The following is a 22,837-nucleotide window of genomic DNA, read 5'->3' as shown; positions in this document are numbered from 1 at the left end:
GACCTTCAAAGATAGTGGGTCTGGAGAGGAGGACCAGGGTGGGGTAGCCCCAGTGGTCACAGGAGTATCTGGAGCAGAGTATACTTGTAGTTTCCCAAATATTCTATATACTCTTTCTATGCCTTCTACTGTTTTCTTTAAAATATACTTACAAATGTAAATGTATATTTCTTATCACACATATTTTGTTTTTTATAAAAATTGAATCACCTTTAACGCATTTTAGCTCACCTACTTTTTTTATTCTGCAACATATCTGGAAATATCCTTCATATTCCTGGAAAACAGCCCACCACGAGTTTTAATTTCTATACAATTTTCACTATATGAGTGTGTGTGTGTGTGTGTATTTTAGAAACAGGGTCTCCCTCTGTCACCCAGGCTGGAGTGCAGTGGTGCCATCATAGCTCACTGCAGCCTCGAACTCCTAGACTCAATCAGTTTTCTCACCTCAGCCTCCTGCCTAGCTGGGACAACAGGTGCGAGCCACTGCACCAGTCTTCTTAATTAAACACTGTTTTTAGAAATGTTTCCTTCAATTTTTTTTTTTTGAAACAGAGTCTCACTCTGTCACCCAGGCTGGAGTGCAGTGGTGTGATCTCGGCTCACTGCAACTCCCACCTCCCAGGTTCAAGTGATTCTCCTGCCTCAGCCTTCTAGTAGCTGGGATTACAGGCACCTGCCACTGCACCCGGCTAATTTTTGTATTTTTTTCTTTTTTTTTTTTTTTTTTTTTGTAGTAGAGACGGGATTTCGCCGTATTGGCTAGGCTGGTCTGGAACTCCTGACCCCAAGTGATCTGCCTGCCTCGGCCTCCCAAAGTGCTGGGATTACAGGCGCGAGGCACCGCGCCTGGCCCGCTTGAAATATTTTGCCTTCTCAATACTATAAAGAAAATCCTAAAGAAATTTTTGGGTCCCTTTCTGGTAATATGCTTTGGAAAGTCCTTGAAGAATTTCTGGGTGAGAGTATATGCATTTTGAAGGTTTTTGGTAGTTAATATTAATTTGCCACCCATTAAGCCTTTAACATTTTATACAGCTGTGCCTGGGTAACCACTAATTATCATTATTATTTCTTCTGGAGCACCATCCCTGACACTCACCCCCTACTACCAGTCTGACCCTACCAACTCATACTCTTAAGAGGTTAAGTGAGCCCACACCTCTGAGTTCCCACGTCTGTCATAAATTTGTTTCATATAGTTGCTGCTTAGGCATCCATTTTAAGGCCCGACATGAGTTATTTGAAACCTAGCAGTACCCGTCCCCTTTGGCTAGTTAAAGCTTACCCTCTCTGTGTGGTTGTTTATGCTGCAGCCCACTTGCTTCTCATCCTATTAACCCAACACACCCCACAGCTGCTGACCATGATGAACCCTAATGGTTAGCACTGGAGCCAAGTCAGCATTTCCCCTCGTGCTCTCTTTAAACCAGCCACGGGATAACATCCATGGACCTTAATAAAGGCATAGTCTGGTGGGTCCTCTTTTTCTCTTGCGTGCCGCACCCACTGGTTGAGCTCCCTGTGGCCTCCAGCCTTCCCTGGGCCTCCCATTGGCATCCCTAACCTCTCTGGGACCAGTAAGTACTAAATTTCTTGTTTTATGCACTTTGGGTTCACCTCCTTAATGTGTCTCGTCTGACTGACACACCTGAGTCTTACTTTCCTCTCATCAGAGCACTCCTAGAAAGTGGCTATCGTGGCTCATGGTCACTCTCAAGAGACAGACCTCACGACCAAATTAGAAAGAAATCATAACAATAAAAATCACAACACTCTCAGTATATTATCATAACTGGCTCACTGTGGGTCCTCCTCAGATTGTTCTAATTGAATCTTCCATTTGTGTGTCTAATCTCAACACAGCAAAATGGCTCGGACCATTTTGCTCTGAGTTACTCAAAAAATGTTTGAATGAAAATATTTTAGTCTGATCTTTCCTTCCAAATAAAAATTATCTAATTTTTATGCAAAATTACTTTCATTCAACAAATATTATTGAATATTTATAGGCACTAACAGTACAAACTGTGGTTCAAAGATGATGAAGACACACGCCTTGCCCAGGACAGTTTGTGGTCTAGTGAGAGAAACAAACAACTGATAGAATACATGAATATAATAGGTGCAGTGATAAGAGGTCTGTATACAGCATGCAGAATGTTTAGTCAAAAGACATTTAGATAGTCCCAGATATATGTGTGTGAGTACTGCATATATAATGAAACGGGATTAAATATCTACCTGTGGCCACTGTTTGTTCTTCACGCCTCAGTCTGTTGCTTTCACTTAGTAACTCCATGTTTGGTTTTAATACTTTTTGAGTTTATTGGCTATCCTTTTACTCAATTCTCAAACTGCAGTCCAACCTAAAATTGAAAAGATAAAATGGTAGAATGGTGGAAGATGAGTATTACCAGTACGTGACATGTCAGTTCAAATAGAGAAAGATGTAAAGGAAACACTTCTATTTTTAAAAGTCAATTTACTAAAGATTCTCCTCACTGGAATGCACACTTCTTGCTTTAGATCTATTAGGACTCAGAAGAGAGACTTCCAGTTTAAAGTTAGTGGTAGTTGCCCTAGAGGTTGTTTCCAGTTACTCTCATATTTTAGCCTCCACCATCTTCCTGAATTCTTCCCACCTTGCTCAGTTCTCCAGAGATGCATATAAGAATATGATGAGGCAAAGAGGTACTCTTAGTTCTTATAGAGGATTTCTTCCCCAACTCCTTTTCTATCAAATGAATTGTTTTTGGCAGCTGTGAAGGAAATCTGAAATTAGTGCTCCCATAAGTGGTTGATTTTCACTTATTTGAGCTGCAGTTGAACCCTGGAGCCCCAGAGAGTCACTGAAAAACCAGCTTCCTAAACCCCTCAAATCCTTCCATGGATCCAAAGAATTCACCATCTTGATGGTTCTCCAAAGCGTCCACCCATATGTCTGCCAAAGGGTCTTATCATTTCTGTTCTTCCAAATATCTGCCCCCAGGACTTCACCATTTCCGTAATTGAGATGTAAGACTGGGGAGGAAAAAAGGATACCCACAATTCTGGTTTGAGGGTGGATGTGTTATCCTACCGATTTCCTGATTGTTCTTTCTAAATGACTTTGCACTCTCCTCTTGGCAGAGAGCCAAACTATTCTAAACATGGGGAGGGAGGGAGGGAGAAAAAGGGGCCAACAGAAGCACCTTCGGCCTGACTCATGACCTTAGAACTAGTTTGCATTTCTAGTCTTGATCATTGTTCTCTGTTTGGTGGTGGTGGGGGAAGGGTGATGGTAGCAGAGAGTTTCATATATTTGTGGAGAATTATTGTCCTTGGTTCAGAAAGGTGACAAGAAATTATAAGACCCCAATTAACAAGCTAAAAGTGGAAAACAAATGATATGTCTTTATCTGCTTGTGGAAAGTGTTTATAAATCAGAAGTATTAGGAGTCCAATAACGCTGAGAGTTTTGTGTTCATTTTTTAAAGCGTTGTATGAGATACCTTTGTCAAGAGCATACAACTTTAAGGTGTTTCTACCCTTGTGTACATAGAACTGAAACAGTATGTTTTAGTGACCAAACTAAAATATACCTTCAAGGACATTTTTTGTCATTTGTTACTTACTGAATTTACTTCATTATACAACAAAAAGAAACTAGTATACTCTATCAGTTCTTTAAAAACTAACTGAATGTTCTGGTAGCGTTGCTTAAACAAGAGAAAGTCAGTTTACCTAAATAAAGTTTTCAAATGGGTTATACTCCCATAGGCAACAGCAAAAACACCTTTAAGATAAGAGTTACCGCTGTATCTTTCCAGTGGCTTGAGGTTAAAAGCCCAAGCTTTGAAATTCGGAAGATCTGGGATTAAATTCCAAACCTTCTACTTGTTAGCTATACAAGGTTATTCATTCTGCTATGCTTCAATTTCCTCACCAATAAAATGGGGACAATAGGTACCTTGTTGGAGTCTTCTAAGAATTTAAGAGACAATTAACATAACATGTTAAGCATAGAGTAAGTGCCTGGCTAACCCAGTGAAACCCCGTCTCTATTAAAATACAAAAAAATTAGCCGGGCGCGATGGCGGGCACCTGCAGTCCCAGCTACTCGGAAGGCTGAGGCAGGAGAATGGCGTGAACCCAGGAGGCGGAGCTTGCAGTGAGCCGAGATCGCGCCACTGCACTCCAGCCTGGGCGACAGAGGGAGACGCCGTCTCAAAAAAAAAAAACAAAAAAAAACAGTAAGTGCTTAATAGATGACACCTGGGAACTTTGCCATGTGTAAAACAGCAAGCAAGTGGGGGCTTAGACATTATATGTCACTATCTCTCTTGAAGAGTTCCCTTGTAAGTCCTGTGGAAGAGAATGGTTTTTCATGGCCGTGAGTCATTTTTCTTGGTTTTAAGCCTGTAGGCAAAGATAATAGCATTGCCACAGTAAGATTTCCTGTATCCATAGTCCCCTTGCAATGTATACGGAAGTCCCACAAAAATAAAAACTGTATTTTTATCAATAAAAGCATATAAAGAAATTTGAGCAAAGCAATCTTCAACAATTTAAAGCACCTTAGTAACTGAATTTTACAGAAATACCATAAGCATATGCCATTTTACAGGTCATATCCATAGATATTTAAAAGAAACATTTTTCTTGATTATTGTAATACAAATCTCCACTGTGCACCGTGCATGAAGACAAAGACAGGCAGTACCATGAGCAAAGAACAGGGCGTTTCACTGAAATCATCATTGAGTCCAAAAGCAAAATTCTTCTTTCTAACATCTCGCTCAGGATGTCGGGTAAGAGGAGGAGAAAGGTAAACCTACACCAGCATACCAGGCCTGGAGATGGAGACTAATTCTAATAAATCAGAATGGAACATGAAAATGTCAACTTAATCAAGCATTTAAATTTTATTAATCAAGCCTAATTTTTATGAGTGCAAATAATCACTGAAGCTGGACAAATTTGTTCTCGATTGCATCAGAAACATAATTTTAATATTTAATGGACTGATGAATTTAAATGGAGAATTATCTTTATGAAACCTGCTCTTCATAATTTGCCATTAAATGAGAAATAAAAAAAAATCAACATAAATCTTACCTAAAGGTTATTTAACTAAATGTTGGTACTATAAATATTATAAATGCATTATACACTAATTTAGCAATCACACAGTACACTACATAAAGCAGAAATGATAAGTAGACCAGGCAGGCTTTTCCTGGGATATAGAGTTCTGTGTTATATTGTGGGAAGCTCATGATATAACGGTTTGGAGGTTTTGTGTGAAGTTTCGTGAACATTCTTTTCATTCAGGCTTTTATGCTACAATTCACCATTCACCACAGACATTCTTTTCAGTCCAAATGTAGGTCTAAACCCACTAGGACTTTCTTTTGTGAGGTGATTATTCTTTATATAAAAAAGATAAAAAATATCATTATTTATAGAAAAGGATATAAGAAAAGAACTGAAGTTTTCTGACTTTATGATTTTTTGACACACAAAACATGCTCCATTTTTAAAGTTAAATTCTCTGACATAATGTCCTCAGGCCTCAAAATGTTCTAGATGGAAAAGAAAAGAAAAAGAAAACTCAAATTAGTGTCAGAATATTCTTTGCAAATGTACACCCGTTCCACTCACCCTCTTTATGACCCAAAACAGATTGCTTAAAATAGGGAGCTGCTGTAAATTTAAGTGAATCAAACCTAACAGATCAATATGGTCCAAAAGTCTGCTGGCATTAATCTCCAAGATAAATTTTTTGTTGTTGTTGTTTTCAAAGTATATTCTTTAAAGATCCCTAATGTTCCCAAAGTGTAGTATTTTCAGTACTATTCCATATATGGAATCATATATGGAAATATATTCCAATATTTCCATAGTATTTTGCATACTTGTGCTAAACTGTGCATTTACCTGAAAAATAACTTGCCTATTGCAGCTCCCAAAATTATTGATGGGGTTGGAGCAAAGGATATTTGGAAGATTGCAGGACATGCTACTCTTTAAAATGTCACAGCAGCTCCCTTTTCTTGCTTTACAGAAATTTTTTTAAATAATGTGTACCTTTTATTAGACACTTAAAAACAATTTCTAAGATTTTCAGAGTTTGAAACATTTAAAATTATGCCTTTTTGTTACAAAGTTGAGGTTCTGGAATGGAAAAATTGGTTCTAAATATAGAGGCATAAGTACATAATTTTCTTTTTTATTTGTACTCTGTTATTAATGTATAAAATATTTTGAAAACATTAAATTTTATAAAGTAGATTCGTGGTGAGTAGAGTTAGCTTTTAATTTTACTTGCAAAGCACATTAAACAACTCAATTTTTTGGCCTTTGGTGTATACTTTTTTCCCTTGACAAATAATATAGTTTCATAAAAGCATTATTATTTAAAAAGCACATTCCAGGTTAATAGTTGACCTATTTTTTCCTACTCAATTGAATTAATATGCAATATCCTAAAGACACCAAGATTAGAATTTTCCTGCAAGTGAAAAACCCAATACATTGTAAAGCCTTTAGATGGAGACAGAGTTCAAATAAACTCTAGAATTCTGTTCATAGTGCTTTGTGTGAGAATAAGAATGAACACTTAAGAATACCGAAAAGGAAATATGAAAAGAAATTTAAGAGGCTTATACTGATTATAGAATTTGTTATTGTTTCGCCTTTCTTAATGGAAGAGTTTTTCTGCATATTAAGCTGACACTTAAGAAAATAAAAGGTAACATACTTTTTGGTCAGTAAAGTAAATTTACTGTCTTTGCACCTTATGGCAAACCAGATTATACAGCAAATACTGCTGTTGATGATGCAGAAGCCATGCTGTACGTAATCAGTGGCATGCATCAAAAGTCATCTGATAGCCACATTAAAGCCACATTCCTTATTAAGAATCAGACTAAATTACAACGTGGCACTTCCCAGAATGAGCCAAGGAAATGCATTTTGTGAGAAGAATAATTGTATTTGAGTGTCTCTGTAAAAATCAGGAAGTCTTTTAGCAGTAAGTACTAATGCTTTTTTTTTTATTCTGCCTTCTTTTGTACTGCAATATATTCAGCCTCCCTGGCAAGCCTATCACACTAATTATTATTACATCTAGTGGTTCAGTTATCTTGATGACTACTGTAGCTGAAATACTCCAAGGTCAAATCCTTAATAGCGTGAATCAAACTAAGCAGCCATCATATATGCAGTTGCTTTCGAGATGTACTGGATGAAACAGTATATCCCAGACTTGATTGAATCTTATTATTCTTACAAACGTGGAGTGAATTATGTATACAATTAATTATACCAGTTTGCAAAAGTTTCTTCTCAAAAATCTTGTGAGAAGTAGGTGTCCTGTCGTAAAAATGTCTGCACTAGCACACCTATAAAGATCTTACCACAAAAGTCTTTAGCCTGACCTTTGGTACTTTCAAGTGATTTGAAATCATTTGAGTGATTATATGCGTCTTCTCCATCAATAGACATTCCATCATTTCATATCATACTTACACGTATAATAAACCAATTGGCACATAAATGCATGTTCTGCTTGGTTTATGCACAAACACAGTGATATAAATGAACTCCAGACTGTGTTGAAGAATACTACCCTCCCCAAATTCTTCCGTATCTCTAGGGTAGAAATAGGCATTTAGTTTGCAACGTATCCAAATATAAGCATCTGTACAAGTTTGGATGATCTATGAATATGAAACTAAATATGAAACTTCTTTCTTTTGTGTCAGTTTTCTTTAATATTTTAACATGGTTGCACATCTGGACAGCAGTGATTTCTTCTTTAAATGTGTAAACGTGTTGCATTTTTATAGACCATATTTGAGTAAAGCAATTTGAGTTGTGCAACTATTCATTTTGAACATAGCAAAACATCCATTTAATTCCAAGGAAAAGAAGTAAACACACGAAAGAAACTGGTTTGTATCAGCACTGGCTTTTGAAAGGTTTGGTTGCAGAGTACTCAATCCTTCCAAGGTTAACATAACCAAGATCTTTTTTGGTTCCTTTTTGTTTGAAGGGATTTAAATAAGTGGAAGAATTTACTCATGGAAAAATTATAATATGAAGTGTTTTAAAAATAATTCATGGGCCTTTTAACCCCCTCTTGTCATATTAAACATATACCTTAAATTGGTGTTAAAAAGCAATAATTAGTATCCACTATCCCATAATGATTTTAATAATGAAGTCTACCTGAACCCACTTTTCCTCATCCTTTCATCATTGGTTTTCTTGTTACTGCATCCTTCTGGTCACCTCTCTTATACATTTTTGTTCCGGGAGAATAATACCAAACATGTCATGTTTTTATTCAGATTATTGACATCACTATTAACATTTCCAGTCAAATAACATTTTCCTTGCAAATCAAGATGTGTTTTGTTGTGTTGGATTACAATTAGAAGTCTTGTAACAGTACGAGAGCTCCTCTAAAACCACATAAAATATATGGTCTATAGATACAATTTTGTTTAATTTTGGAAATGTATTTTTTAAATGTATGGCCACATATTATATTTTATGTTAATGACAAATGTTCAGCAAATATTGAATATAGAGGAAGAAATATGCTTTTTAAAATAATGTTGTCTACTTACTCTCTGGCTGCAATGTAGCTGGCATGCTGCATTTGGGGCTGTCTATGTGTGTTTTTTTAAATGTCATCTTTATTAGTATTACATTCAAGGAATAGTACCAAGAATCAGTTTCTTTCAAGACCTTCCTCGACTGTGTGGCACATAAGTCTGTGACGAGCGACATTACAGAAGGTCATGTCACTTTTAACTGCTTGCATTACATCTTTCTGATTTCCCTAGTGCCCTTCCTTTGTTTGATTAATACTACTTGCTTTCAAGCGAGGTATCAGAAAGCATAATTTGGAAAGAGAATTCTAGAGCCGATCTGTGATATTCCCCCTTAAGAAAAAAGAGAAAAAACCGAACTTCGTAAATGTATCTTTTCTACTACATGATTTTTCGTCACTCTTCATTTTTTCCCCTTCAAGGAAATCCTATGTATAGTGTATGTTGTTCATTAAATTATTGCCCACAAGTGTTTGGGCAACTGGACTTTGTATACTTGAAAACAAAACGATGTAGTGCTTATTTGGTTTTATTTGAAGAGGAAAGAGCTAGAATTTGATACCAGGACTCCCTTCTTTTGTTTTCCTTAGTTAAGTGTTAAACTCCAGCACTCTCATCCTAAATAGCGGTGGTATTTGATTTCTCTGGGAAGGGTTGCAATTTTGTGCAGTCATTAAATGCACTTCAGTAATATATACAGTTTGTTTTTAAAAGCTCAGTTTGCAGTTTCGATGTTCATTGCATTTGGCTAGAGCTCATGTCTTAAAGCACAGCTCAGCTTCTGAGACACTCTTGTCCTCAAAGCCATCCATTTCACTGGACCATTAAAGCCTGAAAATTAGTTGTGAAAGCATCATCATTTTAATTTGGAATCTTTATCCACACTTCTACCTGTACCCCTCTATGTGTTTCTTATGGTCAGTGAAAACATGAATCAGAATTTTGTGTGTCATTAAGAGCACAGAATATTTTGTCCAGGAAAAAATATATTATTTAATTTCCAAAAATGAATGTTTAAAATAGTAACTTGATGTTATTTTATTTTTATTAATAGCTAACATTTTTGAGTACTTCCTTTGACACAGGAACTGTATTAAGCGCTCTTATGCATTATCTCATTGGATCCTCAACACTGTGAGATAGGTGCTATTATCATCTCCATTTTCTAAGGCACCTTCAGCTTCACCTGAGCAAAATGTAATAGTGGGGTATGTTCGGAAGCAGCTTAAAGGCATCGATAGGAAACCATCTATATTATAAATCCTCACTTGTAGATGTTTATGATGTAACTTTAAAAAGGCACTGGAGGAGGGGAAAGGCCCTCACTAGAGCGCTAAAACACAGCAAAAAGGCCTCTCACTAACACAACACTTTTCTGCCAAATGTAAAAGCAAATGGTTGTATTGGGTGGTTCTGGCTGCACATTTGTGGAGCAATTGTGCGTAGCCAATTACCCACTTGTGCAGGGTAAGAACAGTTTGGGTTTTGCAAATGAAGAGCCTGATTCTGTAGACCTCTTTGAGTCATACTTGAACATAAGATCCACAGCTGATCTGTAAAATGTGTAAATTAAGCTACTGGCTTGTTTATGGCTTAATCTTATTTTGAATTTTTGAAAATTAATTTGAAGATAGTGGAGATTCTCCAACCTTAATGGTTAAATATTCATGGGTTCTATTCCCAGGCAAATGTTTGAAAGCATTTTGAATATTTGCTTTTATAAATCTGCATCATTGATTAGGTATAAGTCCTTCCAGGTGAACTAAGTCAGTTCTGTGAGATACATGATAGACACTTTACCCACAAGTGTGTTAAATGATATGAAGGGTAGATGATGCATTCACCTGTTCACTCAATCAACAAATATTTCTTGAACACCTATTATGTACCTGACAATCTGCTAAGCACAGCCCACCACCATCCTGCCTTCATAGCACCTGAAATATGATAGTAAGTACTGCAGAGAGGAGGCATATTATACATTCTTAATTATAAGTAGCTACAATAATGACTTTATTCACAGGAGTAAAAGTATAGTATTCATCTCATTTTCCTTGATGTATTTGATAAGAATCTGCATGGGTAATTTCAGCAAAAAAAAAAAAAATACTTCATTTAAATCTAAAAGATAATTTTATTACAGCTACAAAATAATCATCATTTCAGAAAATCTTACAAGTGTTAGGTGAATTCTTCTGATGCAACAAAATGTACCAATGCAGCTTCTTTTCCATCTTAAACCTCCCTCACAAATAGCCCAATTTGGAATAGCCTGGCATATATCACTTCAACTATATATTGTCACTATTGTCTTTGTATTTGTGATGTGAATACTTTAAATGTGAGGAAATGAAAGGTTAACATGAAAGCTTATCTGATCAACCCTGTTTAAATTTTACTGGATTATAAGCCATTTGAGGGCTGATAGGAGTAAAGAAGGAAGTATTTGTGGGTTATCTGTGTATTCCCACATTACCTAGCACTATGTGCCTTGGACAAAGGGGTTTATAATAAATGCTATGGAGTAGCTGAATATAGTTAGAGAGACTGTCAAGAGTCCATCTTTCTTGTTGAAGCTTCATTGCTTTATATGTCTCCGAAGTAAGTGTAAGCTCTCATCAGATATGCAAAACTGCATATTGCACCACTGTGATTCTTTTGAAAGCTGAATGTCCAAATGAAAGACCTCAAAATTCTACCATTTAACAGAAGATTTAAAGCATGACATTAAATTAAGACAGTCTCACAGGTTGTCAGATGCTTTCATTATATATTCGTTCATGAGACCTGGAGGTTTGTGTTTGGGTTATGCTTTTAAATCAGTTAATGCTTTTAGAATATTTGAGAAAAATTATTAGGAATAACGGAGTTCTGATATGTTATCTCAGTTTATGTAACTCTTTTCATAATACAGTCTTGGTTATTAAAGTGTACACCAATAGAATATTCCTGTTTGTATCAAAAAAAAAACAAAAACAGGAAAGGAGGGCTAGGTGTCTCTGTCCTCTAATATGAGCTTTGGGAGAAAAGTTTTAAAGTATTTGATAACCATGATTCTGTTGAGTCTATTCAGAGATACAAGATCAGGAAAAAAAAAAAGACACAGGAATTTAAAAACCATATCAAATGTCAAACACAATAAGTTGGGTCTTACTTGAATAACAACACTTCTCCCACAGTTTTTTAAACTGTAGGTTTCTGTGGCATGCATATGTGTATGTTTGTGAAGTGTGGAAAACAATTTTAAAAAGCCTGAAATGGAGTGAAGTCCCATTCTGAATGCCTATGGTTATATGTTGATCAAGGCAAAGGGAAGTTATTTGGTAAATCCAAAATGACTGTTCCATTCTGCTGAGGTAGGCTAAATAGCCGTTAAAAAATACATACATGCATATCCAACCATGTGGGTTATACACACACTATACACATGTAATTATATATTATTTTAAGTTTCATTTTATTATACTATGCATTCTCATGATATTCTTGTATAAAATCACAGAGAATTAAAATGAGAGTTTTGGGTAATCCACAAAATCAAAAAGAGAGAGGCAAGACTTGACATTTATACATAAGAATTAAAATTTGGGCCATAAAATATGTTGTTAGTTTTATGCCATAGACCACCAGCATGAATCAATTAACAGACATGGTTTTTTAATCTTAGAGTTTGGTGAAAAGTAAATTAGAAATAGCAGAGCTGTTTCATGCCTAGTTATCTAGTTCTCAATTTAAAGTGCCTGATTAATACAGACAGCAGAATCGGTAGAAGGGAAATTTCCTGATTTAAAGCATCCCCCAAATTAATATTGGTTTACCTTATGCATATTTCAAATTCTTTAGGTTGTCACAAAACATTTCACATAAATCCGGTTCTCCTAACTGGGATTTGGTTCCCTGGTTTTCATCAATTAAAGGCAGAGCATTTTCCTAATCACTCTCTCTAGATCAAATATCCCTTCTCAGTGTGCCTGTTTCAAATGTTAATAAAGTTTTCATTTCCAAAAGGTTCAAAATGACAGAACAAAATTCTCTCCTTTAAGAGCACAAAAAACGACTTCTGTTTCTCTCTGCAGGTAGTGGAGGACATGCTAGAGGACGAGGAAGAAGAAGATGACAAAGATGACAAGGTAATTATCTTTCCCAGCACTTGGGTACCTGGGGATGGGGAAATGTAGACATGACACTGTTTTCACAGACAGTTAAAAAAGGAGTTGAAGTGTTTGAGTCCAGAAAATTGGACAGTGCTGTTTATCATCCTAACAATGCCACTGCGTGTTGCAAAGAGGGAGAGAAGGCTATAAATCCTCTTTGCTTTTGTCCAGAGCTGGGTCAAATATTTTTCTGCCAAGAACAAACAAAAAAATAATTCAGCTTGTCTGGAACTTGATAGCTCTCGTGAAGATAACAGCAGTGATGACTGTTGTTGAAGGGCAAAAATTTGTCCTATTTTGAGTATTACAAATCGGGCCATGCTTTGGGGGAAGAGAGAGTGGAAAAATAGCCTGCATGAGTTGAACATGGATATTGTCATCTGTAATTTTCAAACAATTGCTCAGCAAAAGGACATGAATGTGCCGAGTGCTCCAGAGGACATTTAAATAACCCCAGTGCTCACCGCCCTTGCCGAGGTTTGGAATGGCCACGTGGTTTCTCCATTAGGAAAGCCCATTCAGAGAGGCTTATATTTGATCGCTGGTTGATTTGGGGAGGGTGACCACAGTAAATAACAGCAGTTTCTGGGACTGCTTGGATTGGTTGTCCCCTAGGGAGGGGGGACAACTGGAGGTAGGAATTAGAATGATCTTGCACCACTGCAGCAGTGGCTGGGGTTGGAACTACTGCTTTCTATGGCAAGGAGGATAGTGATGCTGTTACATCATCATCTCTGGACATTTCCAGACCTAAAATCTAAAAAGTCCTAGGGTGAGATTGGGAGGCAGAGGAGAGAAAATCGTTAGTTATTTCCACGTTGTTTGGCGTGTAAAACCAGATTTTTTTACCTTCACCAGAATCTGACTTATATTGTAGTAAAGCAGTGAATTTTTTTTTTGAAGAAAGGAGGAAAACAGTATATTTTAATTTATGCCCTTGACCTTTGATTCCAGTAAAGATGTACAGTTATATCCCAGTGTAAGAATTTGTGTGCCACCAAAGGCTGTGTCTCCAAAGATAAAATAATTTGTGTGTTGAAAGCATACACGAGAAATGTCAAAAAATTCAGTGATTAGTTAACTCTCCACATGATTTTTTTCCTAATCAATGCTTGAAGGAAAACAGAAACACACACACACACACACACACACACACACGCACACTTTCTCCCTTCTAACGCTATTTCAAACATTTTTAAATCGACAGAGCTTTTATGTGAAATTTTTCTTCTGTACATCATTTAGTCATTAGCAACATCATCAAACATAAACTAACAAAATCTCCTTCCTGCAAAAACACATATGTGCTTGTTTTTAATGTTAAATAACATGAGCATACACTTCTGGCAATAAATGATATGATTTATTGCTAAGGTCAGTTGTAGAGCTGTAGAGAGCTTGTATTTTAACTCAATATGCCAGCTCTGAATCATCATTTCTCTGCTGATAAACACTGAGCTGCCATCCATTTATGGCCGTTTTCTCTTGCTTGTTGCTGCTTTATTATTAAAGCCACCATAAAGATCCACCCCAGCAGCAGGCATTTCCCCAGAAATGTTAATAAATGGAAACCCTTAGTGAAGTCTAGTACTTAATGTCCCTGTTTGAAGTCAACCTATGTTTTTAGTCAGTTTGTTGATATTCTGTACTTCTAATCTCTCCCCGTTTTATGGCCATTTTTAATGGAGAGGATGTTAGATATGAGAAATAGGCACACCTGGTTAACCAGCTCACCAAAACATAGATGTCAAGTGGAACATGCCCGGGGGAAACAACACCAAATCTCTGGAGTAACATCTATTGTAATCTAGTGTTTGGTAGTCTGAAATTGACACCCTGCTTCTAACACATTTTCAGATCTAGTTACCAAAGTTGATTGAAAGTGAGTGCTTAAATTGCAGTGTGAATTCAACTGTATTCTTCTGTACAGGATGCCGACAAGCAGTGTGTTTTCCATGTGAAAGGACTGTGAGCTGATTTTCATAAATCCAACCCTTTTATTTGAGCGATAAAAAAGGAGGTTTTTCTTTTTTACTCATAATGCAATTGATAGCATAAAAATCATATCTGAATAAAATCTCAAATGTAATAATTTACAGTAGGCTTTTAAGTGCTTGAATAATAGAGGGAAGAATCTTGTGGACATCTTGAAATATAGTTTTTCCTATAAGAAATGGAAATGAGAAAGGATCCTGCAAGGTTCCATCTTCCATCTCGACAGGCTTTCACAGCGGTAAATGTTACGTCTTGGCTATCAGTGTGTCTGAGTGGAAGAAGGGTAATTTCCTACTTTAAAAAATTCGTTGGTTCCTTTATTTAAAGTTTGTGTACACAGTCATGGGTAATGGAATTTCATGAGAAAACAAATGTGTTCTTTGCCATACGAGCAGGTACTGACCTCTAGCTCTCATTATTTCTGTTTTCTCATATGGTATAATAGTAAGGTCAGGTCAGTGGGTCCTCTTATAGGATAAAAGTAAAAAAGATTAATAAATGTGCCAAAGCCTCACTTTAATTGAACCTGAAGCATATGTTGGAAGTATGTAAAATATGTCCCAGATGTTTCACCGGGGCCAGTGTCTTGGCTTTCCCTGATTACCACAAGGCAGCTATTAGTCCTATAACCTTTGGACTTGGGGGTAAATGGGGTATTACGTGGCACAGAATGAGAGCACCTGTTTTCCATTCTGCCAAGACCCCTGGCAGGCGTTCCCTAAGCCTATCCATATGTTTTCACTTAGCAGATTGTTGGGCGATTATGAAAAGTGTCTTTCTTTAGAGCCAGCATTGATATTAGTCACTCACAATGAAAGGGCAAGTCATTGGCTACTTGACAAGGTCCGTGTGGGCATAAACTGAAATCTTTTATTTCATTTGAGCTTAGGGTGTTTTCCCTCTGCATAATTATATACATGACAAAGACACAGGTATAAGAAGTTGAAGCAGACAAAATTGTAATTACTTAACATAATAGCTTTGTAATAGCTTTTCTTTAGTACTGACTGTAGCACCAGGGAAGACTTTGGTTAAAGTTGGTAAAAGCTAAATCATGATTTACCTGGATTCCTAGATTTTGAAGTTCTTCCAGATTATGGCTTTTTAAATATATATATATATATAATATAAATATATTTCTATAATATATATTAATATATTTATATGATATATATATTAGTTGTTTTTTATTCAAAGAGCTAATCATTATTCAGGTGAGGGTTTGTGATCCACAGACTTACCCTTCATTCTCAAACCCATTGTTCACATTTGTTTAAATCTAAAATTAGGTGGCTTCTCTTTTAATCCAATTCCATGGTTTTCACAAAGGCAGAGAATACAGGTTTTACGTGGTGAGTCTTCGTTATGAATCATTTACTTGTTAATATTTTCACTTATCTGCATTATGTAGTAGCACTATGTTAAGCCGTGCTGGAGATGACATTTTTCCTGAATTAAATGTTAGAAAGACATCATACTGAGTTCTCAATTCCCTTTGTTATAGAGCATTCTCTGAACCATCAACCACAAAGTCACAGTTTGATCTGATTTTTTGACCTGACACCAAATCCTGCCTTTGTGGTTAATAGAATATCTTAGCAAATAAGGCTTAGCTAAATTACCTAGGAGGAGCTATCAACAAGCCATATAATGGTGTTTTTCACCATGTTATAGATAATAATACAGTGGTCAGTCTGCATAATCTAGACATCTAATTAATGAAGATCAGCTTTCCTTTTGTAGTTTAAAAAGTTTAGGCATGCTTCCCATGGTGCATCCTACCCTTGTAATAAGATCCAGCTGCGATATCAGGAAGCAGAAGATAAAATGCAGGTTTTTGTCAGAAAAAGCATGGATTCAAATGCGTGGCATTCTAGTAATGTTTATTGATAAAAGATATTAAAATATTCAGCCATTTATGCTTACATTGCTTCTCCTTTTTCTTCAGCCATTATGTCAAGGTTACTGTGTTTCAAGAGAACTAGATGTAACAAATGAAACATATCTAGAGTTAGTTCAAAGTAAACAGATTCTTTGCTTTAATTCTTGAAATCTGTGTTTTCTGGTTTGATTCTCCAGCCCTAAAACATGTATATAATATATCCAAGATTTGGGCATCTCTGGCATCTCAAACGAACTATGAGGGGTTAGGGGGATGAGAAGTGATGTGATATGAGAGAAGATTTTAATCTGACAAAATGGCATTTTCTAGTTATATTCAATGAAATAACTGCACCGTGGGGAAAAAGATTAAGGCTTTGGAGAAAGGCAAGAAGAAAGGAGGCACAAGGAAAATACTTCTTTTTAAAAATTCCTAAGCCACATTTAACTGGAATAGCATTGTTTTCATTTATTTGTTTGCTATTGCTGCATAACAAATTGCCACACATGGTAGAGGCTCAAAACAACACTCACTTTTTAGCTCTCGGTTCAGTAGATCAGAAGTCCAGCACAGCTCAGTTGGGTTCTCTGCTCAGGGTGTCACATTCAAGGTAGCAGTCAGGCTGAGTTCTCACCTGAAGGCTTTGGAGAAGAATCCATGTCCAAACTCATTCAGGGTATTGATAGAATTCAGTTCCTTATAGTTGGAGGACTGAGGTCCTTGTTTTCTTGCTGGCTTTCTGATACTAGTTGCCATTTTCCATGGCTTCCTCCATCTTTAAATCTATCAGTGGAGAATCTCTGTTGGGTTGAGTCTCTCCCATACTTCAAATCTCTTCAGGAAGAGACAAGTTCCTTTTAAGGCCTCACCTGATTAGGCCAGGCCCATCAAAGATAATCTCTTTTTCTTAAAGGCAATTGTGCCACAGAACACAACCTAGTCATGGGACCACCTATTTCTTTTTTTTTTTTTTTTTTTTTTTTTTTTTTTTTTTTTTTTTTGAGACGGAGTCTTGCTCTGTCGCCCAGGCTGGAGTGCAGTGGCGGGATCTCGGCTCACTGCAAGCTCCGCCTCCCGGGTTCACGCCATTCTCCTGCCTCAGCCTCCCAAGTAGCTGGGACTACAGGCGCCCGCCACTACGCCCGGCTAATTTTTTGTATTTTTAGTAGAGACGGGGTTTCACCATTTTAGCCGGGATGGTCTCGATCTCCTGACCTCGTGATCCGCCCGCCTCGGCCTCCCAAAGTGCTGGGATTACAGGCGTGAGCCACCGCGCCCGGCCTATTTCATCTAATATGATTTGGCCGTGTCCGCACACAATAATATCTTGAATTGTAGCTCCCATATTTCCCATGTGTTGTGGGAGGGACCCGGTGGAAGGTAACTGAATCATGGAGTGGATCTTTCCTGTGCTGTTCTCATGATAGTGAATAAGTCTCATGAGATCTGATAGTTTTATAAAGGGGAGTTCCCCTGCACACACTCACTCTTGCCTGCCACCATGTAAGATGTGACTTTATTCCTCCTTGCCTTCCACCATGATTGTGAGTCCTCCCCAGCCATGTGGAATTGTGAGTCAATTCAACCTTTTTCCTTTATAAATTACCCAGTCTTGGGTATGTCTTTATTAACAGCATGAGAACAGACTAATACACCATCATATTACAAAACCCACTCCCACACTCAAGGGGAGGGAGACTATCATGATATATCTATTGGAAGGCGCGAATCTTGGCAGCCATCTTAGAATTCTGCCTATCAAAACCGCATAGACCCACCCATGCTCTAGAGCAAAATTGGAACAGTCCTTGTGTTCCTTGGATATATTTATTGCAATACTATAACCCAACTATGCTACAATAAACAAATGAGGAAAACCAGCCTCCCAAATCATATTCTTTCAAAGATTATAGGAACATCTCATGCCAGGGGTGTAAACTGAGGTATATTTTACAGTCACAGTATAATATGTCCCATTTGCTTATTATCTATTCTGATCTGGGGTGAGGGATGTTTGGACAGGAAAGGGCTATTTCTTCTTGTTTTCTCCTACTTGGGAGAAGAGCAAATAATAAGATTAAAAATCAGGGAAGGATCCATTTCTCCTTTGTGAACCTATTGGTGCTTAAACACCCATTGAACTGATAGCCCACTCACTTTGAGTCCGCAGAAATACTATCTATTTCATCTAGAATCATAGCAACATTACAACTGGAGGGTACCCAAGAAATAATCTAGTTCAACCCACTTAATTTAAAGTGAGGAGACTGTGGTTCAGCCAAATTTAAGTGAATTGCTAAAGGATATAGACAAGTGGAAGAGCCAGACCTACCACTCAACTTTTCTGATTCCAAATTTGGCATCCTTACGCTTCCTTATGACTAGGTTTTCCGGGGGAAGGGGTATTGTCAAAGTACAGATGCAGGTTACCTCAGACATGATCTTTAAGTCTTTAGGGTAGTTCAATAAGGGAATATACCTTTCACCCCAGCTAGAGACTGTTTATTTCTAGGTTTCTACTACTTTTCACTATTTTCCTGCATATCCAATCCTTTCCTACAGTTTCAACTGAGGGAGTGTGTAGTAGGCAGAATAATATCAAAAATGCCCATGACTTAATCCCTGGAACCTATGGAGATGTCATGCTACATGACAAAGAGGAATTAAGGTAGCAGATAGGATGAAGGGTGCTAATCATCTGACCTTAAAATAGGGAGATTGTCCTGGTTTGTCTGATTGGGCCTAATGTGATCAGAAGTGGAGAGGCCATCAGAGCAGATGGCAGCTGGCAGCTGCATGTGAAGCCATGGCCAAGATCAAGCCTCAGGACCTTTATGGCAAGAAGGAAGAGCTTCTGAGACAGCTGGACTACCTAAAGGTAGAGCTCTCCCAGCTGCACATTGACAGTGTGACAGGTGGCACAGGGTCCACAATCCAACCCCCTTGTTCTCACTGTCATTAACCAGACTCAGAAAGAGAACCACAGGGCGGTCTACAAGGGCAAGAAGTACAAGCCCTTATATCTGCACCCCAAGAAAGCATGTACCTGAACCCCACAGGCTCATCAAGTATGAGAAGGACCTAAAGACCAAGAAATAACCAAGAATGAACAGCTGGTACCCACTGGGAAAGTACAGGGTGCACGGTATCAGTAAAACACAAACTAACTGGTAGGGGGTGGGGACTGCTGTTGCTGGCTTTGGAGATGGAGGAAGCGGGCCACAAGCCAAGAAAATGTCTCTAGAAGCTAGAAAGGGCAAGGAAAAGGATTCTCCCCTAGAGCCTCAAACAAGAAATGCAGCCCTGCCTACACCTTCATTTTTAGCCCAGTGAGACTCATTTCAGACTTCTGACCTATGGAATGGTAAGATAATACATTTGTGATTTCCAAGCACCTAGGTTTATAATAACATGTTACAGCAGCAATAGGAAACTAGTACAGGTAACTTCCAACTGCATTTCCTATACTTCTCCAAACAATACTGTATTTTAAAGCACTAGATCTGAGTTCCTCATTTGTCATTATTAACTTCATCCCACTGGTCTATATAAATACAGCTACACAATTTTTCATATAATATGAAAACTGAAAACAGTATCTAACAAAGCAAATATTTTTATCCAAATTTCTTAATTTTGATTTTGGAAAAGCTTGTTCAAAAATGAGAGTGGGTTATTGCCCATTTTTAATGCAGTCATATACTTTCTGGTTTAGAAGTCTATATTATTAATTGGCGAATAGAGAAGAAATTCATGGTTTTCTTCATTTTTCAGCTGAAGAATTTTACTTCTTCTCAACATTAATTCCATTCCTTAAAATGTTTTACCCTTCAAAGGACAGGGAGTTTTAGTCTTATTTAAGTCACAGACTCTGAGAATCTGAAGATTTACACTTTCTCCCCAGAAGAGGACACAAAACATGCACACACACATAATACACAAACTTTTTTATGTGCTTTTTTTTTGCCATGGAAATTGAATTATTTTACAGAGACTATAAAGTATCTTTATAAAGTCATCTTTGTTGCCCTCACCACTGTTCTCTTGAACTTAATGCCTGTTTCCTCAAACACCTGAGATAAATACAAATTTTACAAGTAAAAAATAATGTTTCATTCAATTCCAAAGCAAGCTTCTACAAGAAGGGTGGTGTTTGGCTTGATTGTGATATTATGGAGTAGTTTTGAGGCAGCAATGGGCTTGTTATCTTTGATATCCATTTGACTATGGCTTTTCAGTTTCATGTCAATAAGTGCTGGAAACACTGACTTGGCGAAAGAAAACAGTAACACAATGGGATCTGCTGTGGCTTTATTAGGTGATGATTAGGCACGGTGAGGAATCCTGGGGTTCTCCAAAATCCTTGTCGAATTCATATTGTGTTGCAATCATCTTTTGAAAACTCTCCATCATTAATGCTTCATCATATTTTAAAAAAATAATTACATACTCATGCCTCTATGTTAAAGTCATTGGAAACAGAACTAGCTTTCAAAGAGTTTTCTAGTGATTCCGGCTGGTGGTGGGTTTCTACCTGTCAAGCTTTGTTACACCTTGTTCCACTTTGCAGAAGCACCTCTCCAGTCTTGGAATGTTTAGGTAGATATCTGTCTCCAACATTCCCTCCAAAGTGGCAGTTGGGCTAAAATAATTTAAATGAAAAGTTTTACATAGCTAACTTGGTAAGAATGTCCATCAAGTAAAGCAAACTATGAATGGACTCTTTCCTTTTGGGTTATTCTGATAGTTGGATTTTCTTTGCCTCAAAAAAAGAACTTTCATTTAAGAGTCAATCAAATGTTTCAAGACAAGTCCTCTGGAAAGCTAGTTAACTTCTGTATTGCAGCAGTGAATTTCCTCTTCTATTCCCCTTTCTTGACAAAAACTCTCGAAATAGCAGTGTGTCAGCCCTGGCTCTCGGGAGGTTGACAACATTCATAGAAATAGACACGATTTTTTCAGGATCGCTGGCAGAGTCGTTGACACGGCTGACACCACTGCATGTTGAGATGAGAAGCATGTTTCTTCACCAAAGCAGCAGAACCAGATGTGTTGCCAAGCATCACAGATGCTCCATCTGAACCCAGGGTGCCAAGATTTTTATTCCGCCTGAAACTTTGTTTGGCAAAGAAATTCTTCACCATTTTAAAGACATTGACTCTGCAGATTCTAAAAGAAATTCACAAAGTAGGAATTCTTTGATTTTAAGAACTTGCCAACAGGAGTTGGCTATATAAATAGAGGTATCTACTTTCATTAAATTATATACAAAAAGGTAAATATTAAAGAAATGTCAGAATATCTGTAGAGTTGACATCATTTGATGTCAGTGAGGGCACAACTTCAAGAAATGTGTGGCTTCACTGAACTATATCCAGTGGCATCTGAGTTATCTTTCTTGGTGATATGGTTCATTTATTTTAAAAGTTTCAATACAAGTCTTTTTTTCTTGGGGCAAATCCAAAATCAAGTAAAGTCCCAGAGTTTAAAAATCGACCTGTTTTTATATAAAGAAAAAGATCCACAAAGTCTAATAAATTTTTAGAGTAGGCAGTCTGAGGTATTCCTTCAATTTTATTGGTTCTGTGCTTCTATTGGTTAGAATATTGCCACACAAGAAGTTCTGTAATTTTTGTGGTCTATCATACTCCACAATTAATATAAAGCTATAATAGATATGAAAACCTCATGGGGTTACTGGTTTTTTCAATTTTTTATTGATATATAAGAATTGTACCTATTTATGGATTATAAGTGATATTTTAATGTATGATCAAATCAGGGTAATTGAGATATATATCATCTTAAAAATTTATCACTTCTTTGAGTGTTGAATATTTCAAATCTTCTAGCTATTTTGAAATATAAATTGTTAGCTATAGTCACCATACTGTGCTATTGAACACTAGGACTTAGTCCTTCTATCTAATTGTATGTTTGTTTCCATTAACCAATCTCTCTTCACCCCACCCGCTTCCCAGCCTCTAGTAACTATTATTCTACTTTTCACTTCTATGAGACCAAAATTTTTAGCTCCCGCAGATGAGTGAGAATATGTGATATTTTTCTTTGTGTCTGGCTTATTTCATTTAACATAAGGACCTCAAGTCCCACCCACATTGCTGCAAGTGATGTAATTTTATTCCTTTTTATGGCCAAATAGCATTCCATTGGGTACATATGTACCACATTTGCTT

At 37.1% G+C, this 22,837-nt stretch overlaps 1 protein-coding gene across 52 annotated transcripts in view; it reads left to right on the top strand.

The window, feature by feature from the left end:
* MCTP1 (multiple C2 and transmembrane domain containing 1) overlaps positions 1-22,837 on the top strand; it is a 581,405-nt gene that overhangs the window by 493,246 nt on the left and 65,322 nt on the right. For all 52 annotated transcript variants that reach the window (XM_047417718.1, NM_001393537.1, XM_047417715.1 and 49 more), the window contains one exon: positions 12,686-12,739. In XM_047417718.1, coding sequence (XP_047273674.1) covers positions 12,686-12,739 — 54 coding nt within the window. The remainder of the gene's footprint in view (positions 1-12,685; positions 12,740-22,837) is intronic.

This window comes from Homo sapiens, chromosome 5, assembly GCF_000001405.40.
Source record: "Homo sapiens chromosome 5, GRCh38.p14 Primary Assembly".
NCBI classification, from domain to species: Eukaryota; Metazoa; Chordata; class Mammalia; order Primates; family Hominidae; genus Homo; species Homo sapiens.
Note: the sequence above shows the minus strand (reverse complement) of the source record. Positions and strands in the feature narration are given on the sequence as shown.